Source organism: Homo sapiens, chromosome 10 (genome assembly GCF_000001405.40).
Source record: "Homo sapiens chromosome 10, GRCh38.p14 Primary Assembly".
NCBI lineage: Eukaryota > Metazoa > Chordata > Mammalia > Primates > Hominidae > Homo > Homo sapiens.
Genome location: NC_000010.11, coordinates 52,066,012 through 52,093,280, shown reverse-complemented (window position 1 = coordinate 52,093,280; position 27,269 = coordinate 52,066,012). Strand labels below are relative to the sequence as shown.

Sequence of the window (27,269 nt, the reverse complement as noted above, 5' to 3'; positions counted from 1 at the left end):
AACATCTTATTTCTATTAAGACAGCTTAAAGAGTCACTTGAATTTTCACCTAAAGAAACAAAACGTCTCTATTACGTAGTAATCTTCACTTCTTTATGTTCCAATATAATATTTGTCATGTATTTCTAACAATGAAAGTTAAACAAGTGCCAGGAAACCCTAACAGTGGTTCTACATCCAAGGTTTTCTTGAACAATCACATTTCATGGGGTACTAAGATTATCATCCCATTTTACTGAAAAGAACCAAGTTTCATTTATCTAGTCACACTCACATTGCTAATAATTGGGATTCAAAACCAGGATTCTACAGTCCACATTTTACAGGCCTCTAAGAATTTTGTCTAAGGCCGTTTCACCCTACAATTAACAAGAAAATAATTATGCAGATAAAACCATACTTACCATGCAAATTGATTTTTCAGTTTGTGTACCACAATTTGGCTCAACATTCTGCTTTTATCTTGAGTTCTTAACAATCTTCCCAATGGTAAAACACACACACAAAATAGAAATTTGGTTTAAAACATCATTTTGCTAACCAGTAAAACTTAAAGCATTATACAATACAAGAATATTTTCATATTTAAATTGTATTTGATGTGCTTAATTTTATGTGAAGTCTTCTACATTTTGTAGATCCTTTATTGCCCTTGAGAGGACACAAGTTGGATCAAGTATCAATCAAAGTGCTTGCCAGAGTAAACTCTTAACACCACAGGACTCTATGCTGAAGGGGGTAAGGTTACAACTCAGAAATGTAATCAGACATAGAAGGATGACCAAAGAATATCAGCAGCTTCCACATCACAAGGAAAAGAATCAAACTTTATGTCAGAACTGGGGTTTTTTTCAGTGTGTTCTTAGGAATATTACACACACAAAAGTCTATTTTCAGTTACTAGCCTTCAAATTTTAGTACTCACGGAAACCTACACTACAAATATAACAAAAAGCATAGGAAATTTTATTTAAAATAAAATTTAGTGTATGTCGGTAGGCTGTTACTTTACACATAAATAGGCTGGAGCAAATCTGAAGAGATGATATGAGATGTTCTTACCTAAAATGCGTATTGTCATACCCCTTATGAGTCATCCTCCCTAACAGGTAAAATTAAGGCATAATAAAAGTCTAACCAACCTGCCTATTAGGTGTGAAGAACAATGGAGATAATCTACTGGGTTTAATATAGGAACCACAAGTTAAATACTAAGTGCTCATGCTCACAATGCAGCCTCATTAGCAATCAAGAAGGAAACGCTGGTAACCCCAGGAGAAGTTTTTGCCCAGAAGTAGTCATACCGTGACATCAAGTCAGCCCTACTTTCTCAAACTCTTTCCTTATACAGAACAATAAATATCTGATTCGCTTTCAAAAAGATGATTATTGTACATTTGGGATTGCTGCACCAGAGGATGAATATCAAAATTCCATGAATGTGCATTAAGGTTTGCTCCTTCGTTACTTTCCTATCACCACTTTAATGCATGCTTTGATTTCACAATGAGGACACCTCAAATGTCTTCTTTAGAACATTTCTGCTTTGATATAGTTTTCTCACATTTAAATCTCTACAAAATAAAAACAAATCTGACGCAACCCAAGACTGTTTAACCCACTGATGAAAACCAACATGATGGCCCATACTGTTTGCAAATGTCTAAAATATCATATTAGTCAAAGGGGACACTTTTATCTCCATTTAATTTGTCCACATGTTAGGAACAAGACTGAATGAAAGACATAACTGTAAAGATTAGACAAGATGTTATTGTGGTAGGCAGAATTTCTGAAATAACTCTTCAAAGATATATTTCCCTGGATTCTCCAGGATCTATGAGTTTGATGCAACATCCCTCCCACTATTGGGTTACGTTATATGGCACAGTTGATCTTAAGATAGGGAGATTATCTAAGTGGGTCTGATCTAATTACACAATCCCTTTAAAAAACCAAGAGTCTTCTCTAACTAGTAGAAGAAGGGAAGAAAGACAGATTCTAAACAAGGGAATAGTCACCTTTGCTAGCTTAAAGATGGAGGAAGCCATTTGACAAGAAAAGGGGGGCCTCAATTTCACAACTTCAAGGAATTAAATTCTGCCAACAACCGGAATGACCTTAAAAGCAGATTTTTCCCTCAGAGATTACAACAGACAAGAGCCCGGCACCTTCATTACAGACTCCTGAGACCCTCAGCAGAGAATTCAGCCAAGCCCACTGAGACTTCTGACTCACAGAACTGTGAGACAATAAATGAATGTTGTTTTCAGTCCTCGAAACTCATGGTAATGTGTTATGCAGCAATAGAAAACTAACACAGGTATGTCAATAAGAGTAGAAGAACAAAGCATTGACAAATGTACTTGGTAATTTTCACAGGTTGACATTAATATTTTAGCAGAAGGCAAAAATGGACTGGTTTGATCATCAGCAATTTCTCATTTATTTATACCTCAATACTCATTTTATGTAATGTGCTAATTGATTAAACCTTAAAACTGATAACCTGCCATAAAAGTTAGTGGAAAAAGGCATTCTAATTAATAGTTACCTACCACATTCAAATAACATTTACTTGTCAAAATGTTTATGTGGACACATGTTAGAAGGACTATGGTAATTAACAAATATATTGAGGGAGATAGTTTAAGGCTATGCAAATATCCCCTTTCACCTTAAAGTTTGAACTCATTAATTTTAACCATTTTCAGTGGATCTTGCCTGCAGCAATTATTAACTGTGATGATCCAATGATGATTTTCTATTTCCCTTATTTCTTCTACATTTATTAATTAGAATTATTCTGTAAGGCATATTTACCTCTTCTCACTTATTTATTCAGTATTTATTTATTTATAAATAAATTACTTGTATCTGTAGGGACTTATGAACATTTATTTTATTATATGGTTTGCAATCCAATACTATTATAATTTATTTTGTTACACAAATTGTTTTAGCTTTGCCCATTGGGAGCTCTTTCAGGTTGCCTCCAATGTCTTTTTTGTATGTAGCCATTTAAAAAAAAAATCATTCCTTCCTTTCTAGCACTACAAGATACCCCAGGATCATCTTATAATTTCCTACCCCAGGTATAGAATTAGCCATTTCTCCAAGGAGTTCTGGTTTCTTTATGGAGTAATGGTATTTAGAAACAACAATCTAGGCCGGGTGTGGTGGCTCACGCCTGTAATCCCAACACTTTGAGAGGGCAAGGCAGGTGGATCACGAGGTCAAGAGATCGAGACCATCCTGGCCAACAAGGTGAAACCCCATTTCTACTAAAAATACGAAAACTAGCTAGGCATGGTGGCACATGCCTGTAGTTCCAGCTACTCGGGAGGCTGAAGCAGGAGAATCACTTGAACGTGGCAGGCAGAGGTTGCAGTGAGCCGAGATTGTGCCACTCCACTGCACTCCAGCCTGGCAACAGAGCAAGACTCCATCTCAAAAAAAAAAAAAAAAAAAAAAAAGAAGGAAAGAAACAATAATCTAAGCCCTAGATGTGTTGGTTGGTTGCTATGAGGGTGTCACTGCTTCTAGGCCCTTAAGTGAACAGAACTAGAAAATATGTTTGCTAACCCATGTATATAAATATATCTGAACTTGTTTCTCTACTTATCTGCATTCATACTGACATCTCTACTTCTAAACCAGACTTCCTTCCTTGCTTAATTTGTAACTTCTCTCTCTGATAGTAAGAAACCTGGATCTCATTAGGTATAGTATATCTTGTAAGATCTTTCTATTATCATCTCATCTATTAGCACATGTATATAAGATAAAATAAACATCTGGATGTGGGACCAAAATAAAAATCTCAACTTGATACATCTTAATGACCAAATTATACTAACTAGTCTACTAACTTAGAGGAGAATTTTTTCATCAATTTGTTGCTGAGAATGGCCAACCAAATGTAATTCAAGAAGACAGGATTAGATAACAAAAAATTATAAAATGCATTTTTCACAGCTGTGGGTACCATGCTTACCCATGGTTTGATTTTTGTTACTCTTGCTAGTTGCTAGTTGTTGAATTCCATTCTGCCCTTTGAAGTGAAACCTTTTTTAAAAGTCAAGTTACCCAGTTAATCTAAGAGCTCAGCATAATTTGGAATTACCACCTGGTTCCGATCCTACTTAATTAAATGGCCAGATATTTAACATAATTTCATTTATCTCCTTATTTAGTAAGGCTTAAAGAGACCAAAAAAACTTGATATTTTAAAATATTTTTCTGACTCTAAAAATAACGTGTTCATTGTATAACATTTTTTAAATACAGAAATACATCTGAAATAAAGTTTCAATCACTCATGTGCCATACACCCTTTGTTTATGTAATATGATCTATGGATTGAATGGTAATGCATCATTATTGATTTTCTGATTAGGAGGGTCAGTGTGCAACAGCGTGTATTTGTTTTCAGATGGTACATAGTGGAATATTTAAGGGTGATTGGGCATCATTTTTGTAATATTAATAACATAGAAACAAATAATGCTCATTTTCAGTCTGTTTCTGCTGCCATAACACAATACCTGAGACTGGAATTTACTTCTTACAGTTCTAGAGGTTGGGAAGTCCAAGATCAAGGTGCTGGCAAGTTCAGTGTCTGGTAAGGACCCAGCATCTGCTTCCAAGATGGCACCCTGTTACTGTGTCCTCACACACTGGGAGATGGAAGGGAAAAAGACATGAACGCTGTGTTCACACACAGCACAGGAGATAGAAGGCAAAAAGTCCCTGCTAGTTTCCTCCAGCCCTTTCACACCTCTTAAAGATTCTATCTCGTAGTACTGTTGTATTGGGAATTCAGTTTCAACATGGATTTTGAAGAGGACACAACATTCAAACCATAGCACCCATCAAGAAAGTCTAAGTTAAATTGAATATATAAATATATAAAATAATATCAATTTATTATATATTAATAAACATAAATAATATACTGTTTGATATTGTAAACAAACTATTTCCTCATTAAATAGTATTTTATTAAATAATATTTAGTCATTAAAAAGAACAAGGCATTTTTGTGGATGTGAAGTTTTTCAAATTTTTAAATTAAAAAAATAAGGCAAAGAACTGAGTGTATACTATAATTCCTTTTGTTTAACCTTAAAAAGTAATATGCATATATAAAGGTTAATCTGAATGATGTCCCATCCACAGATTAGAGTTAAGCAGGATGTGAAACACTTATGGCACATTTTCTGACTTTCCCTAGGTAGGGTGGGAGTATGGGATGCACTTGAGAATTACCACTCAGTTTTCTAAGTTCATTAGTCCTTGATGAAGGAGTGGGGAAGAAATGACTGTGCTCAGTGTTTCAAGAAATTTTCATGCATATCATGCAGTTTCCTTATTGAAACATGGTGTCCTATTTTGTCTCCTTACTATTGAGGAAAAAATAAGTTTTGCTTTTTCTCTATTTTGAAAAGGAAATAGCTTTAGTGAAATAAGAGAATTCTTAACTACAGTTCACAATTTCTCAGACACTCCTACCAAAAAAAACCTAAGAATAGCCAAATTCACTCTGTTCTTGGTTGCCAGATGCAATTTAGTGGCATAAATGTAGCTTTATTCTGATTTATCTAAAAATGTATTATTTGTGTTAAAACCAGTGTAGCACAAAATATTAAAGTATATAAGTACTGTAAGAAAATGTGAGTAAATTTCTCTAAAACATGGAAAAGGTTTTCTGACTATGACTTTAAATCTAGATACAATTAAAGACAAGATTTATAAAAATGACTAAATAAAAATCAAAACAAATTTGTGCATGAGGAAAAATCACAAGCAAAGTCAAAGATAAATCATAAATTGTGAAAAATATGTGGAATATTTCTCAAAAAAAGATAAATTTTCTAATAGATAAGAAACCTTAAAAATGTAGAACTGAAGTCCAAAAGTCCTGTAGGGAAATGGGCAAAAATCATGACCAAGGAATTAACAAAATATATTTTTAAATTATCAATTTCATTCACAATTAAAAATAAAAATTGAAAAACTACACTGAGATAACAGTTCTTATCCATCGAATTGGCAAAATGTCAAAAGTTTACAAGATACCCTATTTGCAAGGCTTTACGGAACAAATCCCCTCATACGTTGCTGGAGAAAAATGCAGTTGTTTTTTATTATTGGAAAGTATCTGGCATGGTTTGGCTGTGTCCCCACCCAAATATCATCTTGAATTGTAGTTCCTATAATCCCCACATGTCATGGGAAGGACCCAGTAGGAGGCAATTGAATTATGGGGCGGTTACCCTCATGACAGTGAGTGAGTTCTCACAAGATCTGATGGTTTCATAAGGGGCTTTTCTCCCTTTTACTCGGCACTTCTCCTTGCTGCTGCCATGTGAAAAAGGACATGTTTGCTTCCTCTTCTGCCATGACTGTAAGTTTCCTGAGGTTTCCCCAGCCCTGCGGAACTGCGAGTCAATTAAACATCTTTCCTTTATAAATTACCCAGTTTAGGGTATGTATTTATTTGCAGTGTGAGAACAGACTAATACACTGTTCAAATGCCCACATATAGCGAATTGTTTGAGGGAATTAGGGTACATAAACACAACGGAGCACTAAAGGGCTATAAAAATGAAAATCAAGGCCAAGGTGGGCAGATCACTTGAGGTCAGGAGTTTGAGACTAGCCTGGCCAACACGGTGAAACCCTGTCTCTACTAAAAATACAAAAATTAGCTGGGTGTGGTGATGCTCTCCTGTAATCCTAGCTATTCAGGAGGCTGAGGCAGGAAAATTGCTTCAATCTGGGAAGCAGAGGTTGCAGTGAGCCAAGATTGCAACACTGCACTTCAGCCTGGGTGATAGAGCGAGACTGTCTCAAAAAAAAAAAAAAAAATCATACCTATAAACTCATATAATTTCTAAAATATACTGAGAAAAATAAAGTTCAAAAAAGTGTATAGTGTGCTACTTTTAGTGTAAGAAAGAGGTAACTAGAAAACAGACATGTATCTACTCACTTTTACAAAAAGAAATACAAGAAAGATAAAGATAAGGAAAAGAATGCAACTGGTTTCCTATAAGAGGTGGAAGGAGAACAGGGTGGAAAGGATGGGGAGGGAATGATCTCTGAGTAAACTTTTTTTTGGAATAATTTTGACATTAAAAGCATAGTACACATTCAAAACAGAAAATTAAACAAGAGGAAAAAGACCTGAAGTGAATCAGACAGAAATATATGAATTCAGCAATATTTCAAATAAATAACATGATCAAACAAAAGGGAGAAAAAAAGTAATTCAGGTAACATGTGAACCCAGTACTTTGACTGTAGAATCTCATGTAAAGGGAAAAAACTGCAAATGAAGCTTAACTTTTTTTACTAGATTTTTGGGCTGCTATGCATGTCACAATTCTGGAACTTTTACATTTAATATAGGACTGAAAAAAAGAGTAAATATGTTTATGTTAGGAACCAGGGAAAGGGGGAATGCAAATATAAAATAGGGGATACAAGAAGGAATTCTGAGGGAATGGGATGAACACATACACACACAAATTTCCTACATTTGGTCCAGTGAATTGTAATTGTACCCAAGTAGCCGTGAGCACATTTAATATACAGATATTGGTTTTTAAGTATCATTCCATATTAAAAAGAATCAGGGCTCTTATAGCCCTTGACTCCAAAGTTGAGACAGAAAATATAAAAGTTGAGAGTGATACAGATTATTATAACAAGAAAGTGCTCATGAGGAAAAAAAATGATGTGGGCATGTCAAAAGGACACAAAGCCACTTTGAACGGATTATCCCAGTCAAGTCTGGGACAATTTGAGAATCAAAGTAATTGATCAGCCATTGAACACAATAGTAATCCACCAGTCCATATTGATAATTAATTGGAAGGAAAAGAATGAAGGACTTCCAGCAGTGAAAGTAGATGAGTTAGAAAATCGTCCTTTTGCAGTCATTGTTAAAAATATTTCTTCTGAAAGGAAGAAATCTTCATCAATGGATGCTAAATCAAAGTGGGAGGGAGGGAGGGAGGGAGAATAATTTGATGCAGAGCAGAACATTTGCATGCTCTTTAAGAGTTTCCTTACAGGTTGTTTATTAGTTGCAAGGGAAAAGGTTATTCTCCACTACACAGTGGAAACTCTGAGCAATGACCTAGCTGAAAGATCTAAATTAATATCACCAGTGAGAGACAGTCGTGTGGTTCCTAATGTGTTTGATACCCTGGGAAGAATACAACGTCACTTATATAATATTCTGGCAAAGAATACATAACCTCAATGTAGTCATGAGGAAATATCAGATAAACTCAAATTGAGTGACAATGTAAAATAAATAACTTCTCTGTGGTCCTCAAAAAATATCTGCACCAAGACAAAGAAAGCTGTCGCATAGTTTCAGATTAAAGGATACCTAAGCGACATAACATCTGAATATAATATTTGATCCTGGACTGGCTTGAAAACTGGACAAAAAAGGTGTCATAAAGAACATTATTGAGACAACTTGCAAAATTGGCATGGGGCTGTTAACTAGATAAACTATTATATCTATGTCAAATTTCTTGAACTTGTTAACTGTATAGTCATTACATAAGAAAACTTCCTTGTTCCTGAGTGACATATATTGGGACATTAGGGAGAAAAGGGTGAACGATTGAACTTGTTCTCAAATACTGCAGGAAAAAAGTATATATCTGTATATTATAAAAACACATGTTTATATCAATATATTAGAGAAAGAGAAGATGAAACAAATGTAGCAAAATGTCAGTAACCGGTGAAATTGAGTAAATGTATAAGGGAGTTTCCTGTGTTAATCTTGCAACTTCTACGTTAATTTGCAACTTTTTCAAATTTGTGAAAAACATGGCAATATATCTCAAGGCAATAAATATTTCAAATTTGAGTCTTAGTAGAATCAGGTCTTGTTGGAAGTGAATGAATAAAGATAATGAAATTTGAAACTGCAAAAACTTTCATCTCATTTGTCTTGAAAGCATCTTAGTTGAGCAGATATTTGTTTCATTGTGTTGTGTAAATGAAATGCATTTTATTAAGTATTACAGCAGTAAGAAAACCTTACTGCTCCTTTTTAAAAACCAGACCCTATCAAGCATTTTAAATGCACTGCTAATCATCTTCTAATGAACTCCTTGTAAAGTTGGGCTATCTTATGAGCAAATATTAAAATCCGCTATTTCCCTTGTAGAAATTCCCCAGAGTCCTGTCTATATTCTTTTAGCAAAGTTCCTTATAGTCCATCAATATCAAATGTGATTTAATTATTATGTATTCATGTAAACTTGAATTTGAAATGTAAAACAGTTACTTAAAATTCTGCCCAGATAGAAGAGAATAAGCCACAAAAGATTTCGTTTTAGTACCCACTGATCTTCCAGCCCCTGTAGACATGATTTGCTTCTTTATACTTGTAGCAATATTTACTAATATTGCTAGACTAAAACATATTCTTTACACTCAGGTTTAACATAAAATAAATCTACATCTAATTTCCTAGGCAATTTCACATCCATCCTTGAACTCTTTAGGTAAAACACTCAGGGTAGGTATGTGCAGCCACTGAAAAAATAGATTTTGCTTTATACTTGCCTCTCATAAATCTCTCCCTTGCGTCTGTCAGAAAACCACTTTTGTAAAATAACTCAAAGCGGCAATTTTACATGAATAATTTCCTGACTAATCATTTTTAACTGATAGGAATTAAACATGTAAATATGAATAAAAACTTCTGTAACACTATTTAAGCCAAGAAAGGACTGCATAGAATATTATGTTCCGGTCCTGTTCTAAAGTGTTCCGGATCACATAATTTTTTGTTTTGTTATGTTTTGTTTTGTACATTTGTTTGTTTTCCTTAATCAACTATACAATATCTTTCCAGGGCAATTAGGGCTGAAAAGTAAATATATTATCAAGATAATTATATTAGTGGTTACCAAATATTAACTACTTCAAAAATCAATTAATGGAATTGTGATTCCATGCTCAATGTAATTTTCTAACAGTAAAATTATGCAAAGAACGATGTTGTACCTGGCCCAAAGTTCAATTTACGAAAAACATCAAATTAAGTAAATTAGAATGAATTTATTTACAGTGTGCTATGGAATTTTTCAAACATATATAACACTAAAGAGAAAAAAAGAGAATAAATGACAGTGTGCCTGTCATTCAGTTTCAAAAATGACGAATTTCTGGCCAATCTTTTCTTCCATATCCCCTCACCCACCACACCACTCGATTATTCAGAAGCAAATCCATAATCCGTGTATTTTTTTCCTGCAAATATCCAGCATATATCTCTAAAAGATATAAGCTTTCTTTAACATCATAATCTAAATATCATTATTACTCTAAAATAATAATTCTTTCTTGTCATCAATTATTAGAAGCAAAAAATTTTTAAAACACAAACCTACTGAAATTGGTTATTTAAAAATATACTATATGTTCCTACTCTATGTCAGAAACTACGCTAAATACCCCTAATGTAAAAATGATCATCCTCTTAAAATGGTCAAGTGTTTTGGATAAATGGGCAGGCAAAATATGAAAGTGTTATGACAGAAAAAAGAATGTGTGTGCTTTCGGAAGGCAGAACAATGGTATCAAACCATAATGGGATAAGAGCTACAGCAGAGAGAACTTCAAACAGGTGACACCCTGTGAGAAGTAAATCAAGTACAATACTGTGTTAGAGCTCCCTCACACCAGCTTGCCAGAGACAATTTGCATCTCTTTCCAATTTCACTTTCCATGCCACCACATTGGTAACATGGTCATGATAGGGTTATTTACACCACAGAAACATGCAATCACCAGAGCTTTCTCTCCTGTCCTACAGAGAGCTGGCTGTTAAACATGTTTAAGCACAGTAATAGGTATGTTAAAGGGCCTTCTAGGTAGAGTGGGCAACTTATGCCAAGGCTCAGAGATGAGAAAGGATGTAATGATATGGTTTGGCTGTGTCCCCACCCAAATCTCATCCTGAATGGTAGTTCCCATAATCCCCATATGTTGCGGGAGGGACCCAATGGGAGGTAATTTAATCATGGGGGTGGTTACCCTGTGCTGCTGTTCTTTCGATACTGAGTCATTTGTCACAAGATGTGATTTATTAAATAAAAGGGGTTTTATTCCCCCTTTCGCTCAGTACTTCTTCTTGCCGCCTTCATGTGAAGAAGGATGTGTTTGCTTCCCTGTACACCATGATTGTAAGTTTCCTGAGGCTTCCCTAGCCACGCAGAACTGTGAGTCAATTAAACATCTCTTCTTTATAAGTTACCCAATCTCAGGCAGTTCTTTATAGCAGCATGAGAATGGACTAATACGGATATTAAATGGTCAGTTTATCCACAATATCAAGTAGATTTAATGAGACCCCTATTGTCAGGACAAGAAACATTCTTCTCTCAGATAGCTGTGGCTCACTTTCTTATCTCCTTCAAATCTTTGCTGAAATATCACTTTCTCAATGAGGACCATACCGACCACCCTACTTAAAATTGCAAATTCCTCCAACCTACCACCTTGTTCACCCTTACCCTGCTCCATTTTATCCTGAGCTCTCGTCATCTTCTAGCTTCTTTTTCTCGTTACTCCTTACCTCAGAATGTAAGATCCATGAAGAAACATGTTTTGCTTCTCCATCAGTATTTCCCAAATGCCTACATCGTACATGGCATATGGTAAGTATTGAATGAATTATGATTAATCAATCAAATTAAGATATGTTATAGAATTCCTACCTTAATTGAAGACACAAATTTGACTTTTTAGCTAGGTGGTGTGAGGAGGGGAGAGATATATAGTAACTAACATTTATCAGGATCTGTCTACAAAGCATCAGATAATGTTGATGGGTGTTTTACTTCTCTCATTTAACACTTATATGAACCCTGCATGGTAAGCAACTATTATGATTTCAATAATAATGAAATTAGGAGTCAGAAGGTTTAAGTAGCTAGCTCAGATAATGGAACAAGTCAATCAGAAATCAGAAATTCAAATCCAGACATGCGTGTCTTTGCCTGATCCCCAGTATTTTTTATTGTACCACATTAACTCCAAAGTTTCTATTCAACACACATTTTACAAGAAATTTAATTTCAAGGTAAACATCACACATTGTACGTTGGGTTTCCTGAGAAACAATATCTGAGACTCTGAAATGTGTTTGCAAGTGGTGTGTTGAAGAGGGTGCTCAGCAGCAACACCTATTGGGGTGAAGGAAGCCGGACTGAACACAGGGAGAAGTTGAGCTATGATGCAATTGCAACAGAGGCCTCAGCCTATTCTATCAGGAGTTTTAGAGTAAATAGCCCTGCAGAATTGTTCTAATTGAGGCCAGGGAATCAAGCTCACAGTAATCAACACTCTGGACAGCTAGAGGAATGACATGGTCTTAAAAGTGATCTTGGTGGCATACCACAGCATCTATTATATCACCAGATTAATATTATTATTATTCTCAAAAATGCTAGAGACTTTAAATAAATTAAATTCATTTTAAAAACTTTAACAGAATAATAAAAAAAGGAGAAAATAAAAGTCAATGTTTTTGTATGATACACAAAACAAATACCAAATAGCAATTTAAGATTAAAAAATAGATAGTAATCAACTCAGTGGGAATCCAGAAGATTCTGTAGGCCTTACTTTTGTACTTATCAACCAAATTAAGCCCCTTACCGAACTAGTTTATGTACTAAGTCTCAGTTTGCTTGCCTTCATTTCATGGACTCCTAAATTAGCATATTTTGAGAAGAAAAATAGGAGAAAAAAATATTACCATCTTTACGAAGTTTTTTTTTGCATTGAAAAATGTAACAAAATAATTCAACATATGTTTAGAAAACTTTTAGAAGGGTACTGGCATATTTGTTTTGTTGGATTCAAAGACGGGACATGGGCCAGCTCTTAATGGATAAGGATCACTTTTGGTTAGATACTCATGAAAAAAACATCATGGAGAAGTTGCTCAAACTAAATCAAGAAGGATGAGCAGGACCTTATAAGTGGATATTGGATGCAGCATGAAATAGCACAGAGGCAAAAGGAATGTTATATTTAAATACGCAGAGGCAGAACAGTGTCAGGGTCTCAGGAATGGTTAATATTATAATCCATATTTCTTGAGAATTTAGGTTTTTATTCTAGTATAGTGGTAGATAAAGCCAAAGAAGTAGATTTGGAGCTGTGTCGTAGGACTTGAAGTTCAAAATAATAAATTTGGTGTTTATTTAGTGGGCACTGGGATATAACAAAGTGCTTTGGAGAAAGCTGTGCTACCATCAGAACAGCTTTTCTTTATGGACCTATCATGGGACAGCCTGCCCTAGCACTTATTAGCATGTATGGGGCCTACAGCAAGACTGTAAATGGAGGCCCCCATACCATATATCTAATAATGTAAAAGTATCCTCCTACCTTGAAAAATATTTCTCAATAATCTGGAAGACTAAATTCAAACCAGAATTTTTTTGTTCTTCAGAATTCCAAGTGCAGGCCAGAATCATAACCATATGGCAATAGGTGACCCTGGTCCCCCTCTACCAGCTATCTCCTGCTTTCTAACAAACCATGAGTAGCCCACATATCCAACTGGGGTAGGATAAGAAATGGTCCACTTGCTTCTCCCACCCCAGTTAAACAGTGAACCTTGCCTCTAGGATACACACAACTGCTGTGCTCAACTTTTACTAGGAAGGACACAGGAAAGAACTTTCCCTGGCCTCAGAGGGAAACAGAAGTCACGAGTCTCAGGTTCCTAAAGGATGATCTAGAAGGAGATGTGCAGGCTTCATATGGACATATCTGTCTGACCCCAAAGATTCTTTTTTTCTTAGGGAAGAGGCACAGCAGAAGAGGGCCTCTGGAATCTAAAACTTAAAGCTCAGGCTTCGGGCAGGGGTCCTACTGCCTGAGTCTAGTGTTGTGGTGCTTTGATATACTGGGATATGATGAAAAAAAACCATGCACATCTAATAGAATGAACTACAGGTCAAGAAAAGATCTGAATTACAGTGGAAAAGGTGTTAAAAGAGATAAATGAATGAATGGGAGAAATGCTGTGGAAGAACTGTCAATAAAATTTGATGTCCAAAGATGAAGAAGGAGAGCTATGACACAGAGGGCTGTTTCAGAGGTTGTCCTTAATGTTCAAGCCTGGGTGACCAGGTAAATGTAAGTGTTCTTAACAGAGGAAACTGTTTGAAGAGCAATTAATGCATTTGAGAAAGAAATTAAAATGCCAGTAGAGGCTATTCTCCCATGATATTTGCCTGTAGGCACATCCAACTCTATTCTCATGGGAGACCCAGGATCCATGATCCATTTCTGAACATTGAAAGGGATAATAAAAACTGTAAATACAAACTATCTCATCACTCTTGTAAAAATTATTTCCCATTCTCATAAACACATATAGTCTTGCTACTTTAAATAAAATTATTTGGTTAAGCAGCACTTTTCAGGATATTTAGACACTGCTAGAAGGAGAAACTGTAAGATTTATATTCCAGTTCGTAATGACTCACTCTGCTTTAGCAAATGGAAAATTAATGAAATTGTTGTTGCTAGTGACAGAATAATTTATCCAGTCTTCCTTTGAATAAGAATAGCAGTTAAAATGAGAAGCAATAAAAATAATTGTGGTATATGGTAGTCTCTGGTGTGTGACAGCTGGCTTAATCTTTTTGTTACCTCTCAGGTGCATACAGGGACATGATTATCATAGGTTAGCTCATGGTAGTGTATGGAATAGTGTACACATGTAGGAAGTTAGAATGATATGAAATGTCAATAGTTTCTTGTAGGAAAGTTTCTATAACCTATTATTTTCCGCAATCTCAAATCCTTACTATTCTTGGGTAGGTCTAGAAACATAAAAACCATACATTTATCTTTCCCCCATATATTTAAAAAATGATTATTTTAAAAATAATTAGTGGTTATTTTAAAATTTTATCAATTTTAAGATTAACTTCAAGTACATGTTTTACAATTCTTGACTATTTGTGTTTGGTAATACAATGTAAAAGACTTAAAGTAAACAAATTCTATTTCTCCAGGTTAGCAAATCCATGTTTCTAAGGGAATTAAGTGCATATGGATGTAGGCGGTAGAAAACCTGTATTCTTCTTACAGAATGTGTGTGGAAAATGTTCCTTTCAAAGCAACATGTTTCCCCATATGGGAAGCAGGCTTGCAGCAACGATGTCGTCGAGTAGACAGTGAGAGTGGCAGTCGGCCATCTGGGCGGCAGACAACTGTCATCCACTGCTGCTGAGGGCACCTCTAAGCACAGAAATTGACTCTCAAAGACAAGACCCTTTTGCCTATCCCTGCTTGCATGGTTCGAGTTATCCATTACTTGACTTGTTCAAAACCCCATGCCTTTATAGAAGATGATTACTACTGTCAGTGAGTTTATTGCACTCATGGGCATCTAATTCCATTTACCCAAATGAGCCCTAAAGTATTCTGCTATTGGTGACTGTAGTAAAACCTACTGCAGAACTAAAATGTTATTAAAAGATGTTTTGATAATAGAAGCATAGAGAACTCTGAGCCTCCTGTGTGTAGAACCATGAAAGTGATAGTGGGTACGACTGTCTAGTGAGTTTTAAAACGTCATATTAGATTTACTGAGGTATAATTGACATTAAATAAGCTGCACATTTAAAATGTACAACTCGAAAACTTTTGGCATTTGCAGACATTCTAATTACTGTCACCATGATCAATATAATGAAAATATCCATCATCTACAAAGGTTTATTAGTATCCCTTTATAATCTCTGTCTCCTGCCATCTGTCATCTCTATATAAAATTCTATAGAATGGCAACTAATCTATGGTGACAGAAAGCAGATAATATCTTAGATAGATCTTAGATATCTTAGATAGATAGAATTATACAGCATGTACTTTTTTTAATCTGGCTTATTTCACTCATTGTAAATATTTTTGAAGTTTTCATCGTAATTATTTTGATACTAATCTGTTTCTGAGTACATCACTATTTCACTATTTTTATTGCTACATACTACTTCATTGCATGGCTCTAGCACCATTGTTTACCTATTCATCTATTGATGCACATTTCTGTTGTTTCAAATTTGGAGATATTAAATATAAAGCTGCTATAACATTTTTGTACAAGTCTTTGTATGCATGTAAGCTTTCATGTTTCATGTAAATACCTACGAATGGAATGGCTGGGTCAGATGGTAGGTAATATGTTTAAGTTTTAAAAAAAAAAAAACTGCCAAACTGTTCTCCAAAGTTGTTGTACTATTTTATACTCTACATCCTCTCCAATACTTTATATGATCAATCCTTTTAATTTTAGATATTCTAATATGTTTGCAGTGGCACTACCTTGTGGTTTTAATTTTCATTTCCCTAATGACTAATCACGTTGAGACAATTTTCACTTGCTTATTTGCCATTAGTTTCTCTTCATGGTGAAATATCTGTTCAAATAATTTGGATGTTTTAAAAAATTAGGCTATTCATTTTCTCATTATTGAGATTTGAGAGCTCTGTATATATTCTGGAATCAAGTTCTTTTTCAAATATGTGATTTGCAAATATTTTCTCCCAGTCTGTGGGTTGCCTTTTCCTACTTTAAATAGTGTTTGTCAAAAAACAGAAATTCTTCATTTTAATAAAATCTTCTCCTTCTCCTTCTCCTTCTTCTTCTGACAGAGTCTTGCTCTGTTGCCCAGGCTGGAGTGCAGTGGCATGGTCTCAGCTCACTGCAACCTCTGCCTCCTGGGTTCAAGCGATTCTCCTGCCTCAGCCTCCTGAGCAGCTGGGATCACAGGTGCACACCACCATGCCCAACTAATTTCTGCATTTTTAGTAGAGACAGGGTTTCGCCATGTTGGCCAGGCTGGTCTTGAACTCCTGACCTCCAGTGATTGGCCTGCCTCGGCCTTCCAAAGTGCTGGGACTACGGGCGTGAGCCACTGGGCCCGGCCCCTTTTTTTCCTTTTATAGATTATGTTTTGATGTAAAAATCTTCATCTAACCAAAGTCCACAAAATTTATTGTCTATTTTTTCCTGAAGATTGTAGTTTTGATCTCACATTTAGGTCCATGATCCATTTTAACTTAATTTTTGTATGTCGTGCAAGGTATGGATTCAAGTTCATTTTTTTCTTGATGGATTTTCAATTGTTTCAACATCATTTGTGGAAAATCTGACCTTTCTTAAGTGAATTGCATTTGAACCTTTGTTGAAAATCAATTGATAAATTATCCCCTTTAAATTTATATGTGTATATTGAAGCCCTAACCCCCAATGTGACAGTATTTAGAGACAGGGCCTTTGGGAGATCCTTAGGTTTAGATGAGGTCATGAAAGTGGGGCCCTCATGATGGAATTAGTGCCCTTACAAGAAGAGATACCAGAGAGCAGGTGGTTTTTCTCTCTCTACATGAATTCACTGAGGAACGGCTATGAGAGCACAAAGCCAGAAGGGTGTCTGCAAGCCAGGGAGAGGGCAATCAATAGAACTTGACAATGTTAGCATCTTGACCTCAGACTTCCAGCCGTTAAAACTGTGAGAAAATAAATTTCTGTTGGTTAAGCCACCTAATCTACAGTATTTTTTGTAACGGCAAAGCTAACTAAGCTAACTAAAATGGCAATATATGTGTGGTTGATTTATGGACTCTTCATTCTGCTACATCAATCTATTTGTCTAACTTGATATCAATACCACACTGCCTTGGCTACTGCAGCTTTAAAGTAAGCTTTGAAGTCAGATGGAGTTAGTCTTCCAAACTTTCTTTTTTTCTAAATTGTTCATATAAATTTTAGGTCCATATAAATTCTAGGTCCACATAAATTTTAAAATCATCTTGTCAATTTCAACCAAAAAAATCTTAGTAACATTTTGATTGGGATTGCGGTGAGCGTATAGATCCATCTAGGAGAATAATACTGCGTCTTACAACGTATGAACGTAATATCTTCAGTTTTCTCTTGGAATCATTTTGTAATTTTCAGTGAAGAGATCTTACACATCTTTTACAAATTTATCTGTAACTACTCCCTAGTTTTTGATGCTATCATAAGTGGTATTTTTAATTTCAATTTCTAATTGTTTGTTGCTTGATTAAATAATAAGTACCTATACGATTATTTATTGACATTTTTCGAAATGGCCCAGGAAAAGTTAGTGGACTTAAAGTCCTTTAAATATTACTGAAATATTCTAAAAATAATCTTGCACTTTTCCTAAATGCCTGGAATAGGAGATAAGGCAATTATCACATAGCATACTTTTCTCAGATACTTCTCATTTCCATTTCATTGTATGAACAAGGAATAAGAACCATGCAATGCCAAATACAGTTGCAAATGCTCCTTTTATGCGATACAGTCTTAATCAGAACACATGAGTAATGTTACACTCAAATTTTTTTCTGGCAAGAATTTAGAGGACCTTAAAGCATTTCTTTTGTAGGCATCAGAAGTGATTAGTGTAATGACAGTGAATCTAGCCAATTAAAATCTTTGTTGCCTGTCCAAAGTATGATTTATAGCAAGTCATGATTTATTAACAATTGTATAAAGGAAAAATTAAGAAGCAATCATTTAGACTTGGAAGGAATGAGAATGACAGAGACACAAAACACCGGCTGAGTTCATTAGCAAGAAAATTAACTCCAAGTGAAACATTTTTATGTCCATTTTTGAAGCGATTTTCAAATTTACATTATTTTTTCTTATCTTGTGGCACCTGAAGGGAATTATTTGTCTGAATGACATGTTGTAGAGTAACAATGAGAGACTGAATTGTTTTTATAAGTAGCTCAATTTCCACCACGGAAAATGACCTTACATTTTAGACAGTAGAGATAAATAAACCATTTTATGGAAAAGTACTAAGACACCCTGATGTTTCTCCAATCTTCTATAAAAAGCTGATCCCTTTTCTATAAACAGTCATTCATGTAAGCGGGCCCTTAGCTTTCCTCTAGAAGAAAAGTCCTCTTTCAAAAATCTCCTTGCATTTCACAGAAGCTTTCTAAAAAACCAATTTCCCAACTTACTTAAAACTAATGTATTTTATTAACATTAGTTACTGGTCAGTTACTGATAATTTGTACCTATTATAATGAGCTAAATCAAGAATTTAGGCATACTTGAGTCTAAGGTACACACTAAAACATTAGCAAGATTATTAAGTAAATTCAAACAACAGCAACAATAATTTTTTTGTACAACTAACTGTATGTTTCAGGTGAAGGTGTTCAGAGAAGTTCAGAGGAAGGATTCAAATTTTGTTTATTAAATAATCTTGATTATTGTGGAAGTAGTCTAGTCCAAATGCTAAGGCGCTCCCATACAAATATCAATAATTTGAGATATGAAGGGGAGGTTGCATGTGTGTATAATTTTTTTATGCATTATGTTTTCTCTAAAATCAGGATACAGTTTCCATTAATCCTGTAATGAGTTCCTTGACATCAAAGTCCAATGGGCCATTATATCACAGGTATCTTTTAATTAAGGTCCATATAATGGGTCCAGGCATCTTCAGAGCAACAGGTCAGCTTCTACATGCCTATGTATTTGGGTCCTGTGCTGTGCTGGACTTCCAGGTTCTAATATCTCATTTGGAGATTGTTGTAAGTTCAGCCACTCTTTCATGCCAGAACAGATGAATTACAAAATGTTACTACAAATGAATACCTAAAAGTGAAATAAATCATGGGGATGATGAGGACCTAACAGATCTCAGTATGATTACAGCATAGATAATGAAGCAGGATGTAGCTGATCATGAGACTGCGGCAATGATATGGGAGCAGCTCTCACAACAGGGAGTGCCAGAGCAAGCCTTTGAGGAGAAAAGTGGCATGACGCGATTTGCTTTAGAGAATGTAGTGAGTTGATTTGTGCCCTCCCAAAAGATATGTCGAAGCCCTAGCCCTCAAACCTGTGAATGTAATTATATTTGAAAATAAGGTCTTCCAGATATGATCAAGTTAAGGTGCTGCCATACTGGATCAGGGTGGGCCCTCCATTCAATGACTGGTGTTCTCATAAAGAAAGATTTTGATACAGAGGCACACGCAGAGGGAAAACAGCCATGTGAAGACAGTGACAGAAACTAAAGTGATGTAGCTCCAAGACAAAAAATGCCAAGGACTGCTGGGAACCACCAAAAGCTAGGAGTGAGGCATGGAACAGATTCCTCCCTAGAGCTTCCAAAGGGAGTGTGGCCTGGTGACACTTTGACTTTGGATGTCTAGCCTACAGACCTGTGAAAGAATAAATTGCTATTGTTTTAGCCACCCAGTTTGTGTAATTTATTATGGCCACACTAAGAAACTTAATACAAATACTTTGTCATCATCACAAAGAGGGGAATGGATAAAAAGTGCGGAAGACTGGACACAGGGAGACCAATTAGGTGGCTGTCCTATAATTTAGACAGATCATGGTGGCACTAACAGGAACAGTGGCATGAGGGTGGTGAGAAGCAGATTGAGAGTTGAAGTTGAGAGTTATTTAAGAGGTAGAACAAACAGGATTCGTTATTATGAGAGGAAATTTTAGGAGAAGAAAGAGTCAAGGATAATGTCCAAATTTCTGGTTTGATAAACACATGTAATATTCACTTGAAAAAGAATAGACTTGATTGGAGTTGGAAAGAAAATGAGTTTACTTTTGTCCAAGGGATATGTGAGATACTTGTGTGACAGCTAAGTTGACTTGCCCCGTAGGAAAAAGTTCTGGGGTGGAGAAAAAATGTTACTATGATACTCTGTGCTTTTCCTATAGCACCTAGTACATCAATTATTTTAATCTCCTCTTTATAAATCCTGAAGAGGAGAATAACTCAGGCCAGAAAAGTGAGAGGACAGCATCTTTTTGTTTTGTTTTGTATTGTTTTGTTTTGTTTTGGACAGCCACAAATCCAGAACAACAGAAATAAAAATTCCCACCAGACATTGTGTTACTTTTTCCATAGATTATTCACTATAATCCTCACGAGAATAATCTTCACTAAAAACCAAATTAATTATAATATTCACTAAAATGAAAAACGTAAAAAAAAAAAAAAAAAAAAAAAAAAGCAAAACAATAAACCCTGAGAGTCTCAGGTGCTGGAAAGAGAAGGGTCCCAAGGCTGGAGAAACAAGCTGGAGCCGCACAGGAGTCATAAGGGCTGGGTGAAGGAGCCTGGTGATGGCCCCACGGGAGAGGGCGACTGGGACTGAGTCCTTCATAAGGCCAGAGCCCTGGAGCATTTCGACACAAAAGGCACACGCAGTATAAATAACTCTCTCTGTCAGCCCAAGTAAATGTCAAGAGTCTTTCTCTGAGAGAAACAGAAACCCAAGCCTTGTAACTGGAAGAACTGAATTCTTTCAATGTTATCTTCAAGTTACAGGGATATTAAGCTAAAACGTATCTTTGCAGAGGCAAATATGAAACATATAAAATAGGTACATAGAGATGCTTCAATAACGTGAGCACAAGAAAATCAATCCCTCAGTCCACTAACTCCACTGAAAATGGGTATGTGGTAGAAAATAAAAACACCAAAAAACCCCACCCCCACCCCCACCCAAGACAAGCACACCTCAGCTATACTAAACCACACACGGAAGGAAAGTTGGTGGAAGTGACAAATGGAAGAATGTGCACCCCAAAAGTGAAACTAACAGAAAGTTTCAAAGAATTTGACATTCTAAAAATAATTTCTGAAGACATACAGCAAAAAAAGATGATATAAGAAACAATGTAAAAGATATTTAAGATGTCCATTGCAGCAACATAGGATGCAGCTGGAGGCCATTATCCTAAACCAGTTAATGCAGAAACAGAAAGCCAAATACACATGTTTTCACTTATAAGTGGGAGCTGAACATTGAGTTCATGTGAACACCATCATGGGAACAATAGACACTAGAGAGTTGAAAAGAGGGGAGGCAGAGATGGAGGCAAGGGTTGAAAATCTACCTTTTAGGTACTATGTTCCCTACTTGGGCCATGGGAGTATTAGAAGCCTAAACCTCAGCATCACACAGTACACCCATGTAACAAACCTGCACATGTACCTTCTGAATCAAAATTAAAAATATGAATAAATAAAGGAAAAGAAAAAAGATATTTAAAAATAATAAAATAATGGCAATAATACCTCACATTTATCAAACACTTAGTATATGCCAGACATTATTCTAACATGCATACATACTATATACATTATTTGGCCTATTAATCACCTTGACCCTATGTGGCAAGCACTATTATTCTACTTTTACAAACCATGAAGCTGAAACAGAGATGAACATCAACAAGATCACACATTTCATAAACAATGGAGCTGGGGTTTGAACCCAAGAAGTCTCATTTCAGAGCTCACACTCCTAAGCACTTTGATGCACCAAGTAGAACTTCTAAAATTACTTTTATAAAATAGTCATTGGAACCTACTCAGTGTATTAATTGAACTGAAGACTTGATACAATTGAAGGAAGAAGTAGAGAATGGCATGACCATCTGAGACAATCTGCCCAGCTTCTATTAAAAATGTAGCACCGAATGACACAGAGAAAGAAGATTCAAATGTGAATAAGGAGGTAAGGACATATGATGATGAGGTTAGGTCTAGGCCACTAAAAGTTACAAAATGAGAGAAAAGAGAAAGCGGGGGAAAGAATATATGCAGAAATAATGCTGAGAATTTTCTAGGATTGAAAAAAAACTGCATTCTCAAAAGGAGATGCACAGAGTTTTATTCTTCATTTATTGATAAATATATCTGTACCTACATTAATTATAGCAAAAATGCATAATGTCAAAGACAGAAACAGCTACCAGAGAGACAGTTTACCTACAAAGGAATGGTGATTTGACTGGCTGCAGAACATGAATGTCAGAAGACAATGTAATAACACTTCAAATGAAATTTGACCTAGATATTTACACCTAACCCAAAATTCACTCATGTGTAGGCAAGGGCAGAAGGTATAAACCAATCATCTCTTCAAAGAATAAATCTAAAAGAAATGAGGTGGGTTACAGGAGCAATAGTGGGCAAAGGAATTTGTAAACGAGTTGATAAATGTTAAATAATTAGGTTTTGGTTGTGTCTGAAAAAATACAGTAATAATAATGATTAATATTTGGGGACCAGTAGAAAACTACCTAGAAGATTGGTAGGAGTAATTAATTTGGAGTTTAACACACTTAATATTATATTATTATTCAAGAGAGGAATAGAGCTATTGATTAGTGTTACATGTTAAATATACATATTAACATATAAAGGTTATAATCATTAAAATAGAAGAAGGTAAAACTTCTAAACGAAGGAATGACATAAGTGCAATGCCTATGACAATAGAAGGAAAAGAAAAAAATAATATATTGACCGAGAATGAAACAGAATAATATTTCACATGGGTAAAATTTTAAATACAAATATGAATACATATATACACAATAAATTATAGACATATTTATAGACACATGAGCAATGAGGATGCATACAATAAGCTTCAGAATGGTGATATTGGGAAGGAGAGGAAGTACGCGGGTGGGATACAAAAGCAGCTTGAATAGTTTTCATAACATTTTACTTCTATATAAATAAATAATAATCAAATTCAAATATGGAAAAATATTAAAATCCATATCCAGTACTTAATTTCTGTACTATAATTTTATTGTTTTATCTTTTCTTTTTTGTTTTTGAGATGGAGTCTCACTCAGGCTCACAGGCTGGAGGAGAGTGGTGTGATCTCATTCACTGCAACCTCTACCTCCTGGGTTCAAGTGATTCTCCTACTTCAGCCCCCCGAGTAGCTGGAATTACAGGCTTGTGCCATCGCAACTGGATAATTTTTGTATTTTTAGTAGAGACAGTGTTTCATCATGTTGGCCAGGCTGGTCTCAAACTCCTGACCTCAAGTGGTTTGCCTGCCTCAGCCTACCAACGTGCTGGGATTACAAGCATGAGCCACCATGCCCAGCAAAATTTTATTAATTTTTTAAAAGAAAAAAATATACATCAGAAGATAAAACAAAGAAGCAAGTTCAGAAATGTTAATTAACTTTTCCATGATCACAGACTATGAAGTGAAAACAAATAAGGAAATACAGATTTCTAATATTAATGTCTATTCAACTGACTTTGGCTAATTCATTTTTGCATTAACATGAACAGGGCCTGGCATGTGGCACAGGTACTCAGAATGAGAGGCAACAGCTGGGAAAGTTCTTGGAGGGAAGTTCCTTGCTGACAGTGGTTTGGTATTAAATGCCACCATTTAACAGGTAACTCAGGGCTGCACTTGGCATTCAGGGGTCTGTTCCAGGTGGAAAAGGGCCAACTCTCAGAGAACCAGAAGCTATGACCTAACGAAACTTAAAGATCACCTAGTTCAATTGGCTTAGTTTACAGGAGCTTAACTGGCTTGCTGAAAGTCAATCAATGAGTGGTTGACTCAAAATCTAATGCTATGTCAATTTTGCCAGTACACTAAACTTTATCAAGTGGTAGCAGAACAGTGCTGGTATGATGATATGATGATGATGATGAAGATGATGATGTAGATAAAGATGATGGTGGTAGTGATGATGACAGCTCACTTTAGGGAAGCATTAAACTAAATTATATGCACTCACCCAAATTCTTTGTAAGTATCCTTTTGATTCCTCCTCCAATAACCCAAGTAGTTAGATGTAATCATAATCCCCATTTCAGATAAAAGAAATTCTTCTCAGTGACTAATCATTAATAAATGACAGAATAAGTTCCAAAGCAGGCAATCTGGCTCTGAACTGGATCTCTTAGCCATATGCTATGCTGAAGACTCAAAAGTTAGGGGAAAGAAAGGAAGGTGGCTACTGGGAGCTTAATCCCATCCCTTTTGGGTACAACTTGGTCTACCATATTTCCTATCACTGGAGATGCAAAGTGAATATTCGGTTTAGAATTTGCCATCATCTGATGTTTATATGTATTCCATATGGTTTCAAGTCAAGTAGGGATCTTTTTTTTTTTTTTTTTTTTTTTTTGAGACGGAGTTTCGCTCTGTCGCCCAGGCTGGAGTGCAGTGGCGCGATCTCGACTCACTGCAAGCTCCGCCTCCCGGGTTCACGCCATTCTCCTGCCTCAGCCTCCCGTGTAGCTGGGACTACAGGCACGCGCCACCATGCCCGGCTGATTTTTGTATTTTTAGTAGAGACGGGGTTTCACCGTGTTAGCCAGGATGGTCTCGATCTCCTGACCTCGTGATCCGCCCGTCTCGGCCTCCCAAAGTGCTGGGATTACAGGCGTGAGCCACTGCGCCCGGCCTCAAGTAGGGATCTTGAAGCAATGGTAAGTCAAAGTATAGATGGATTGACTTATGAGTTATTGAACTAAACGTGAAGTGATTGCTCTTAAACACACCTTTAGTTTTCATATATATATAAGGGAGTACTTCTGTAAAAAGTAAACATTTTACCCTCTCTTTGGTGTGTATAAACACTTATCAGAGCAAGGAAAGAAAAAAAAAAAAGATGCTTGAGCCAAACAATACTGCACAATTTGCTTTATGTCAACTAAAGTGAAAGAGACTCAAATTTTTCTAATAATAAGATGCTATTGGTTAAAGGATGTTAATAATACAGTTTATAAGATGACTCAATTTATGACTCTACTATCTCCATCCAACAAGAAAATAAAGCTTGTTACTTTTAGAGGCAGAACTAGATAGTAGTCATGAGGCTGAGTTCTGGAGAAAGGGTGTTGAGTTTACATTTCGGCAATGCCATTCCATTTTCTACTGTGTGCTTAATCAGTACTAGTATTTATGCACTCTCAAATTTAAAAAGAATGGTCAAACATATATTCATTTCACTCAATCTCCAACCAGAAACTTATCAATATTTAATTGCCTGCTGAACAACTTCAAGAGAATAAAACCAAAATTCCGAGTACACACAAATTTTATTTGTGAGAAAACCACAATCTGAAATTCTGTTCTGTACATACAGAGAATGCTGGCTCTACAATTTTTATTCCAAGTATAAAAACTATATAGTTTGTAAACAAGCATAGCTATTACCCAAAGGATATACACAGTTGCCCAAAAGATTTTATATATCAAAGTTATATCAATTTCTAAGTTATTTAGAAGGAAACAAGTGAAACAAATCAATTTGATTTGCGAAATGTTGGAATTTCTTGTGAAAAATATTGAAATGCAAACAAAAGATTAAAAAAACCTAGACACAGTGAAAAACAAGTTACAGGCATAGGATATCAAAATGTTAAAATGTCAAAACATCAAAACAAGAAAATAATCAAGATGAGTTAATAGGCTTCCTTCATTTGAAGCAAAGGACAGGTTTTAAAGAGGCATATCTGAGTGATAGAAATCACAAAATGGCATCCACACGCCAAAGAGTTTGCAGAAATGGTCTGTTGGTTTACAGAGCTTTTTTAAAAAATCAGATTACAAAATCACATTTCATATTTTTAAAATCTAGGTTTTTTTCTGCTTTTCTTAAAAAGCCGAGGTTACATTCTTACAGAGCAGCAGCAAGCTGGAGTTCAGTAATTTCCGTCCTCATCACATAAGACTTCCCAGTTTGCCACCTGTTTTACTAGCCTATTGTAGTCATTTACATCGCTAGCCTGCCCCCCATGGTCAAGCGAGCTCATAACCCCTATCCACTGCCAGGCAAATTCAAGTCCTGAATGTGATCAATGGAAGAAGGGACTTTAAGATTGGACATCATTCGAGAGGTTCATTTGTTCATCTATTCATTCATTCACTCATTCATTTGTTAAAAAATATGTGGGTATTTGATAAGTGCCAGACACCGGGTTCAAATAAGAATATAAATATTTGGGACTTCTTTTCATTGAGGTATTATGCAATCATATATCTGGAGGAGCTTACCAAGGTTTATGAAATACAGTTGAGGACATAATATTAGCAAATTTTAGGAAATGAAATAAATTCTAAAGAGTGCCAATAATTTAAAGGGTCCCGAAGGGTGGAGAATTTAAAGAAAGAAAGGGTGGTCAACAATGTAAAATCATGGCTGAGAAGTGAAGTCAAATGAAGAAAAAAATAAAAGGACCATTTCATGAGGTAACTAGCAAATCTCTGGTGACATTTAAGAGGGCACTTAGAGTAGACTAATAAAACCAGGTTCCATAGCGAGAAAGTGAGAATAACAGCATAAGAAAGAGATGTGAGGAAATGGGGGTAAG

The 27,269-nt window shown here is 35.6% G+C and overlaps 1 protein-coding gene across 5 annotated transcripts in view; it reads right to left on the bottom strand.

Moving 5' to 3' along the window:
• The window catches only part of PRKG1 (protein kinase cGMP-dependent 1), a 1,307,463-nt gene that overhangs the window by 205,070 nt on the left and 1,075,124 nt on the right, over window positions 1-27,269 (bottom strand). The window lies entirely within an intron of this gene.